This window comes from Homo sapiens, chromosome 5, assembly GCF_000001405.40.
Source record: "Homo sapiens chromosome 5, GRCh38.p14 Primary Assembly".
NCBI classification, from domain to species: Eukaryota; Metazoa; Chordata; class Mammalia; order Primates; family Hominidae; genus Homo; species Homo sapiens.
In genome coordinates this window covers 163913165-163923067 of record NC_000005.10, presented here as the reverse complement: position 1 = coordinate 163923067, position 9903 = coordinate 163913165, and the positions used below count along the sequence as shown (strand labels likewise).

Genomic DNA, 9903 nt, shown 5'->3' with positions numbered 1-9903 from the left:
TGAAAGAAATTGTAGAAGACTCTCAGTTCTCTTCATAGGCAGCATTGAGTCTTTTTTTTCCCCTCTCTAATAACTTGACATAGGAAAACCTTCACTTGAATACAGAAATACCTGGTTTCCAGTCTTTGGAGCAAACCAAAATAACAACACAATGGCCCAAGGTAAGAGGAAGCAAAGTACTGGTGAACAGTTACTCTAGATCACAAATTTCCTTTACCTGTGACCAGACAAAAATTATACCTCAACAAATAATGAGCTTTCATTATCAATTTCAACACATCCCTATGCAAGTGATATAGTGCTAAACTTCATTAGACTAGGGAAATATGCTATTACAGATACAAACCAGAGATGATTTAGTTCCAGATATTTAAGTTGTCCCTGACTATGGATATCATAATACCTGAGTGTGATTGCTATGCTTGGCCATTTTCTCTTTTTTTTTGGAAATGTATGTATCAAGACTAGATCAATGCAGAGCCTTTCCATTTCTTGTAATACTCAGCCTGAGATGTAAATTATAATAGCATTCAATATTATTTAAGCTTTTGTATATTTTGTCTTTTGGTTCACTGACCATTCATGTTTGGCCTTGATTATACCACATAAACACCTAAGGGATGAAGTACAAAAGCAGACTGGCCAAATAACTAATATTTACATGTTTAATGCATTTGTGTGTATATATATCCAGTACACATATATGTTTTCAATTATACAGACCAAATATGTTTTGAACTGTAAATGATTGAGACCTTAAATTTAGTGTACCCATCTGATAAAAGTCATAAGCACCTACTAAAAATGAAAAACGGATCTTTCAACTTTACTCCCTATAGATAAGTAAAAGTAAATATTATTGCGATATTTAAATGTGTAGAACTCTTAAAAATGCATGAGCTCTGGAATCAGACAAACCTATATTAAAAGGAGCCACTTCTGCCTAGCTGCTGGGTGACTTTGGACATGTTTCTTAGTCTCTATAAAGCTCAATTTTATCATCTGCAAAATGGGTATAGTAATCATTCCGATTCCAGTTGAGCTGCTATAGCATAGACTATAAAATAACATTGACTAAAACAAAATAGAAGTTTATTTCTCAAATAACACTTTGAGTACAATACTCTAATATAACAGCTCTATGGTACCAGAGTGTTGCTCTGCCATTTTCAATATATAATTTCTATATTTTAGTCAAAAACTGCTGTCATTATTATGTACATATACCAACTAGTGGGAAAATGAATAATGGAAGAGAAGATAAGGTACATTATAAAAATGATCACCATTCATCATTCTTCCTTGTATCTATGGCCCTTCACAGTGTGACTTTACAGCAACTCCCATAAATACTTTACTTTCCCAGCCCTTGCCATATGATTACTTCAGTTAAGAGAATGCAGCACAAGTGAGGAGCTCTGAATCTAGGCCTCCAGAGCCTTTGTACCCCTTCCCTTGCCCTCTTGGTATCTTGACAGCCACTGTGTAAGCAAGACCAGGTTAGTTCTCTCAATTAAGTAACAAACCTTCATTGTCCCAGCCAATGGTCACTTCCCAGCCAATCTTACAGCTGATCACAGATGCATACGTGTATTAGTCTGTTCTCACACTGCTAATAAAGACATACCTGAAACTGGGTAATTTATAAAGGAAATAGGTTTAAGTGACTCAGAGTTCAGCATGGCTGGGGCGGCCTCAGGAAACTTACAATCATGAAAAAGGGGAAGCAAACATGTTCTTCTTCACATGGAGGCAGCAAGGAGAAGTGCAGAGTGAAGAGTGGGGAAAGCCCCTTATAAAACCATCAGATCTTGTGAGAACTCACTCAGTATCATGAGAATAGCAAGGAGGTAACCAACCCCATGATTCAATTACCAACCATGGGCTCCCTCCCATGACATGTGGGGATTTGGGGAACTATCATTCAAGATGAGATTTGGGTGAAGACACAGCCAAACCATATCATTCTGCCTCTGGCCCCTCCCAGGTCTCATGTCCTCACATTTCAAAACATAGTCATGTCTTCCCAACAGTCCCCCAAAGTCTTAACTCATTCCAGCATTAATTCAAAAGTCCAAGTCCAAAGTCTCATCTGAGACAAGGCAAGTTCCTTTCACCTGTGAGCCTGTAAAATCAAAAGCAAGTTAGTTACTTCCTAGATACAAAGTGGGTACAGATATTGGGTAAATACACCCATTCCAAATGGGAGAAATTGGCCAAAATTAAAGGGCTATAGTCCCCATGTAAGTCTGAAATCCACTGGGGCAGTCAAATCTTAAAGCTCCAAAATGATCTCCTGTGGCTCCATGTCTCATATCTACGCTAATACATAAGGCAGGTTTCCACAGGCATGGCCAGCTCCACCCCTGTGGCTTTGTAGGGTACAGCTCCTCTCCTGGCTGCTTTCAAGGGTTGGCACTGAGTGTCTGCGGCTTTTCCAGGAAGATGGTGTAAGCTGTCAGTGGATCTGCCATTTGGGGTCTGGAGGACAGTGACTGTCTTTTCACAGTCCCACTAGGCAGTGTACCAGTGGGGATTCTGTGTGGGGGTTCTGACCCCACATTTCCCTTCCATACTGCCCTAGCAGAGCTTCTCCATGAGGGCTCTGCCCCTGCAGCAAACTTCTGCCTGGACATCCAGGCATTTCTATACTTCCTCTGAAATCTAGGCAGAGGTTCCCAAACCTCAATGCCTGACTTCTGTGCACCCACAGGCTTAACACCAAGTGGGAGCTGCCAAGGCTTGAGGCTTGCACCCCTTGAAGCCAAAGCCCAAGCTATACCTTGGTTCCTTCTAGCCATGTCTGGAGTGGCTGGGATGCAGGGCACAAAGGAGGGGGTCCTGGACCTGGCCCAGGTAACCATTTTTCCCTTATAGGCCTATGGGTCTTTGATGGGAGAGTCTGCCACAGAGGTCTCTAACATGCCCTGGAGACATTTTCCCCGTAGTCCTGGCAATTAGCTTTTGGCTCCTTGTTACTTATGCAAATTTCTGCTGCCATCTTGAATTTCTGCCCTGAAAAAGAGTTTTTCTTTTCTATTGCATCACCAGGCTGCAAATCTTCCAAACTTTTACGGTCTGCTTCCTCTTGAATGCTTAACCACTTAGAAATTTCTTCTGCCAGATACCCTAAATCATCTCTCTCAAGTTCAAAGTTCCACAGATCTCTAGGACAGGAGCGAAATGCTGCCAGTCTCTTTGCATAGCAAGAGTGATCTTTACTCCAGTTCCCAACAAGTCCCTCATCTTCATCTGAGACCACCTCAGCCTGGACTTTATTGTTTATATCACTATCAGCATTTGGTCAAAGCCATTCAACAAGTCTCTAGGAATTTCCAAACTTTCCCACATCTTGCTGTCTTCTGAGCCCTCCAAGTCTCTAGGAAGTTCCAAACTTTTCCACATTTTCCTATCTTCTTCTGAGCCTTCCAAACTGTTCCCACCTCTGCCTGTTACTCCGTTCCAAAGCCACTTCCACATTTCGGCATATCTTTACAGCAGCTCCCCACTACGTGGTACTAATTTACTGTATTAGTTTGTGCTTATGCTGCTAATAAAGATATACCTGAGACTCAGTAATTCATAAATGAAAGACGTTTAATTGTCTCGCAGTTCCACAGGGCTGGGGAGGCCTCCCCAGGAAACTTACAATCATGGCAGAAGGGGAAGCAAACACATCCTTCTTCACATGGTGGCAGCAAGGAGAAGTTCAGAGTGAAGAGGGGTAAAAGCCCCTTATGAAACCATCAGATCTCATGAGAACTTATTCACTATCACAAGAATAGTATGGGGGTAATCACCCCCATGATTTATTACCTCCTACTCGCACCCTCCCAGGACATGTGGGCATTACAGGAACTACAATTCAAGATGACATTTGAGTGCGGACACAGTCAAACCATATCAATACATTTAGCTATTGCCAAAACAATCCATCAGCTGATCCCAGCCCAAGTTGCCAACATGCATAATTATGACTGAAAAATAATTGTTGTTATAAACCACTACATTTTGGGGTGTTTTGTTAGGCTGAAAGTGATTAAAGGAGAAGGATCATTTTCCTTCTAAGGTTATAACCCAGAATCTGCACAGATCCCTTCTCTCGTGCCACTGGTGAGAATTTAGTTATATGTCTATATTAGCTGCAAGGAACGTGGGGAAAGGTAGTCTATTGCTGGTTGTTGACATGTCCAGCTATAACTAGACACATTTCTCTATTAAAAGAAAAAGAGAGGAATCTATATGTGGGGGCAACTGGTGGTCTCTGCCACTTCTACCTATTTTGATGGTTGTGAATATTAAATGTGAAATAAATGTAATGGTTTTGGCCCAATGACTGTAACCCAGAAAGGTCTCAGTAAATGTTTGCCATCGTTGATATTTAGAATTGGAAATTAATGACATTCGTTTAAAGGGTCACAAAGAATACTCAGAAGTATCAAGTTCTCCATACCTAGTTTTGGTTTGCCCTGATCTTCCAGCAGCCCCTCCCATCTCCCAAACTCAAGTCAGGAACCATATTAGAAGATCCACAGAGGGAACATCAACAGTGACATTGAAACACTGTGTCTACTGATCTGATTCAGACAAAGCCTGGATGTCTATTAGAAAAGATTAGATACATGGCATAAAGCCAGGGGACAGGACTCAAGCAAGTCCTTTCAATTCTATCCTCCATCACTGTATAATAAATAGAGAATGTCACTGAGAAACTGTCAAAAACCAGAGTTGGAAGGGTTTATCTTTCTTTCTCCTTATATTGCTACTAGGAGTTTTGTTAAATAAATATAAAAAGGTAGAGTGTAATAAACTATCTTGGCCTTGAGGAGAGAGGGAATAAAACAGGTGTCCATTTTCTGAAGCCAATTTTTGTCCCTTTCCAATTTTAAAGCAAAAGAAATGAAATACAAGAGCAGAATGAGAGATGGGCTGTGGGAAACTGATAGAAAGGAAACCTAAAGGAAGGCTTATGAAAACAACTTGATAGATGTAAATAACCCCCCCATAAAAGATGATCATCACTTACCTACCAGTTAGATGATCACCTGACAGTAACCATTGCATTAGTAAGCAGTCATTAAACAAGCATTAGTCATGCACACATTTGCCTGTATTTTGAAATTTGGTGTTTTGAGTTATATCCCCCAGACTACTGGATGGCCTCATACCTGGTAAACAGTTATTACTGTTATAATCTGTGTGAATCATCTCTCTCTCCTTCCAGAGTTGCTGTCAACTCAGAATTTGCTATTACAAGTCAAATCCTGAAACGACCTGAAAAAGTATATCTAAGGTACCCTGGATGGAAGAAAGATCAAATAATCAATAAGTAAAGTGACACATGCACAAAAGAATGAGACAGCAGTGAGATGCAGGGCAAGTGGGGGCCACCCTGTGAGTGGCAGTATTTACAGAATACGTCCACTTGAGACGCAAGAAAGGGTTCGAGGTCAACAACAACAAGAAAAACAGAAAGTCCTGAGAAAGAAGGTTTTGTCAGGAGCCATATTCGTGTATGGCCTCAAAGCTGAGAGTGAAGTGTGCAAAGATGAGCCAGAGAGTACAAACGACTTTCCAAAGGACTTCAGAAATGGGAGAAGCATCGTAGACCGGGACAATGGCACAGAGGAGGGAAGAAAGACAGATGGCCCCCAAACAGCACCTTTAAAAACACTTTTTAAATTCAAAGTGATTAAGAAATGAACACCCATATTACCCATAGTGGTTATCTTTAAAAATGGGACACTGTTAAGATAATCCTATCAAAGGATTAAGAAATAGCAATATAGAGATAGGAGGAATCCAATCAAAGATTAAAGTGTGATGTCCAAGAGATATGTCAGCATTTCCAGGGGGTATACAATGGTGTACTAGTTTCTTCTGAGGGTAATAGATACTACACAAAAACAAAAAATATGAAAAGGGGTAAGTTAAATGTTGTTGAACAGATTTCTTCACTGTCAAGAGTATTCAGAGGAAATGTGCATTGTGAAACTCCAAAAGGGAGGTGTGTGATACATGCATGTCTGTTCCTCCCTCATCACCCCTACTTTTCCTTTTGGGAGCAAAATGCTGCTTGCACTGGGATTTTTTTTATCAGAGCGTTCAGTTCATACCACCCTTTTCTAAACTAGTAGATATGGCTGCTCCCTCAGGGTAGTATGTAGATTAGTTTTATAGGGCCTTTCTATGGGAAAGAAAGGGTTTCAGCAGGGCATGTATAGGAGGGGCTTCTCTGGTGCTTGCATAGTGGCCTTACATGTTTCTTCATACATCTCATGTAACATAATGAAATTTTAAATCCCCATCCTTGGGTATGATCTTTAGCATTAAAATGAGGGAGGGGTAACTTTAAGTTGAACTGCGCAGACAGGACCCTGGAGCAGTCCCTAACCCGCTAAACCAGGGACTTGAGGTTAATGGCTTCTTGGGTCTTTTGTTGCTGATTGGCTGGAAGTTGGGTAAGCTACAGCTTGGGTAAGAGGCTTGTTCCTTCTCCTCTAAACCACAGCAAAACAGGAAACCAGACAGCCTGCCTGTCTCAAAATGACCCAGTGTAGGCAAATCAGGTTCTCCCTCTGAGGAATGTGCCACTTTTAGCAGATGGACACAGAGGTAAAACTTAGGGCCATGAAGCATCACTACTTTATTCCTGCTAAGGGGTTCCCCTTCCTTCCCAGGGCCTAGAGGTTCAGGCCTCCTTCAGTGCTCTGAGCTGCCACATATCCTTCCACAGAATTCCACTCAGGCTTGGTAGCCAGAGATCCTTTGTTTGTAATCAAATCACTCTGAGGACAGCAACTTGCAACACTTCACAAATACATTTGAGGAAGGATTTGTTTTGTTTTTTTGGCAAAATAACCCTCTGAATGGGTTATCTGCAGAACACACGCTGCTCTAGGTAATAATAGAGGTCTTTTGTAACATACTAAGGGGACATAAACTGTCCTGGATGCTTATATTTGCTCATTGAAAATCACCAACTAAGGAACAATAATGCATCCCTCTCTATGTGTTTATGCCATAGAGAGGGTTGATATGGCCTTGCTAGCGATGGTGAAGCCACCACACAAAGGCACTGTATTGGCACTAAAACGATCGAGGGTCACAGGACTCCTACTCTGGGGAGAAATGTAATGTCCTTAGTGAAGCATAGAATTTACCAGGGTGTCATATTTCAAACTGACTGCAAAAGGGAACCTTGAGCTTACCACAAGGCTAGAGCTTCCTGGAGAGCAATTAGGCTGGTTTACAGAGCAATCTCCCTCACTCTAGAAGTGATACCGGACGGGGGGCAGGGAAGTGCTGGGTAGAGAAGGGTGGGGTCCCTGGTGAGGGCTCCACCCTCAGATCTGTGCCCACGGACCTAAATGAGGACAGGCATTTCTGTTTCTGTGCCCAAAATGTTGCCTTTTCGCCCACCACACCCACTATCCTGTGCCCATAAAAACCCTGGACCGTAGCAGGCACACACACAGGCGGCTGGACATTGAGAGGAGCAGAAGAACACACCAGCAGACACCGGCAGGCCAGTGATGGCCGAACAACGTGGATGCCAATTCAGCCAGGGGCATCTGGAGGAGAGTTTGGCCGCTGGGCAGGATCGACTCCAGGGGAAGAGCACCTTCCCACCCCATCCCCCTTCTGGCTCCCCATCCATCTCACTGGGAGCTACCCTCACCACTCAATAAAATCTTGCACTCATTCTCCAAGCCCCCGTGTGATCCGATTTTTCCAGTACACAAGGGAAAGAACCCAGGATACAGAAAGCCCTCTGTCCTTGTGGTAAGGAAGAGGGTCTAATTGAGCTGATTAACACAAGCTACCTGCAGATGGCAAGGCTGAAAGAGCACACTGTAACACACGCCCACTGGGGCTTCAGGAGCTGTGAACACTCAACCCTAGATGTTGCCATGGGGTCGGAGTCCAAAAACACTCCCCACCATCTGCTCATCTGCAAGTTGCCCCTAGGGCTTTGAGCACCAGGGCACTGAAGAAACCGGCCACACCCCTGCCACTACACGCCCTGTGAGGGAGATAAGGGAACTCTCCTGTTTCAGCAGGGTGTGGAGGGATGGGGGAAGGAGCGCTCATAAGTCTCCTCCCAAAGCCTAGCAATGGAGTGGGATGTTGGTATGTATATTTTTAGAGAGAAAAACAGCTTTTAAATTATATTCATTTAAGAAAAGTAAAATACTCTAATGTAGAGGCAAAACAAAGAAATATCCTTTTACAGGAAATGGGGGCTGGGGGACAAGTGAAAAGAAGGAATAGAAAGATGCTAAAAGCACATACCTAAATCATGTTAACTCTATCTTTGTGTTTCTACACAATTTCTGGAATGACAGGTACATGAACAGCAATAGCAGTAATATTCACAATAGTAATAGCAAATATTAATACTATGATTTGGGTCGTATTCTATTTACATTACAAACCATTATCCCCAACTACACAGATGACAAAACTGAGGCATGAAAGTAGATTAACTGTCCACAAGCCTGCCTCTTTAACAAATTAACTTCCCCATAGCTAATTATCTTACCCTAAACTAATTGTCTTCTTCTCTACCACACAAAAACATGCAAACATGATATAACTTAGAGTGATCATAGTGATAAAAGAAAGTTGTATATAGGCATATATATGTATGTATACGTATATATACATACATATATATACATATCCACACATATCCAAAAGGCTGCATGAAGAAGAAGGAATAATACAATGAATAATAAATGGACTGAGGCCCTAAAGGGGCGAGAAATGAGAGATAAAGACAGACTTACAGAACGCTTGGGAATACATCTTTCTCTTAGCCTGGAGGACAGTAAGAAGAGAGAAAATAAATGTTTTGTGGTAGATATTGGCAATTCATGCCCAAAAGCTTTTCTCGGAGAGACATAATGCAAGGCAATGTGGAAAAAAACAAAAAGGATGTTTTTAATCTGTTTATTTTTTTTAGTCTATTGGCCTGGATTAGCACTTTTTTTTCTAAAAACCCATCCATTATCTCTGTAGGATATGGATATTTATCCATGGTAGAAGTTAAATTGATGTTTATGGAGCAAATCAATTGTGTGTGTTTGCACTCTAACTAACAGCTCTTTCCAGCTTTCGCAGGAATATTTTTACAAACTTTACAGTTTCATTATGAACATTCTGTTTATTCAGACTGTGTGAAGATTTCCAATGCATTTGTTCTACTTGTATTCTAAAGTCCTGAAGACTGTTTCAAAATTATAAATCATTTGGGTCCCAAACTCAGATGACGCCAGAGTCTGGGCAAATAGCATAAGTGAATGAAGCAATCTGCATGTAAAAAAAAAAGATATGGCTAGTTTGTTGTGCCTCTTGTGGCCGCTTTTCATAAAGGCATGGGTACAGAATATAATTTAAGGAAAGTTACAGCAAAAGTGCCCTGATAATGACAAACCATCATTGGTCCTAGTCTCAGAGAAATAATAAGGAGGGGGTAGGTATTATCACAAATTGGCAAATTTATGATCATCTAAAGCTGGTAGCTGCTACCCAGACTTACCCATTGTTGCCACATATGAAATGTGATAAAATGTGGTAGATGACAAAAATGACCCTCCCCACTCTTTCTGTATCTAAGCAATGTAATTATGCAGTAACTTCATACTTACTTTTGCATGAAAAAAAGCTAATCCAGGCCAGTAGACTCAATAAGCAGATTATAGAAGGTTGTTTGTTACCCACTGTTAGCATGGTAATAGATAACTGATACAGAAATTCAGATAAGAACCTAAGAAAGTGAAATCTAATTTTTAAAAATCAGCAGCTAATTTTTTTTAATGACATAGCTCAAACACAACCATTTCTATGGATCTGATCCAGACCACAGGCCACTATTTTGCATTCTCCATTCTAATCCCT

The 9903-nt window shown here is 41.3% G+C and overlaps 3 annotated features.

The window, feature by feature from the left end:
* Nucleotides 6488-6597: a silencer, noted in NCBI's record as "silent region_16592". NCBI's record gives its function as "represses an Ori minimal core promoter by ATAC-STARR-seq in GM12878 lymphoblastoid cells {active_cell/tissue: GM12878}" and the evidence as "EXISTENCE:reporter gene assay evidence [ECO:0000049][PMID:35858748]".
* Nucleotides 6949-7495: an enhancer, noted in NCBI's record as "NANOG-H3K4me1 hESC enhancer chr5:163342579-163343125 (GRCh37/hg19 assembly coordinates)". NCBI's record gives its function as "activates a minimal SCP1, AML or CMV promoter by ChIP-STARR-seq in naive H9 embryonic stem cells {active_cell/tissue: H9 hESC(naive)}" and the evidence as "EXISTENCE:reporter gene assay evidence [ECO:0000049][PMID:30033119]".
* Nucleotides 7578-7707: an enhancer, noted in NCBI's record as "active region_23583". NCBI's record gives its function as "activates an Ori minimal core promoter by ATAC-STARR-seq in GM12878 lymphoblastoid cells {active_cell/tissue: GM12878}" and the evidence as "EXISTENCE:reporter gene assay evidence [ECO:0000049][PMID:35858748]".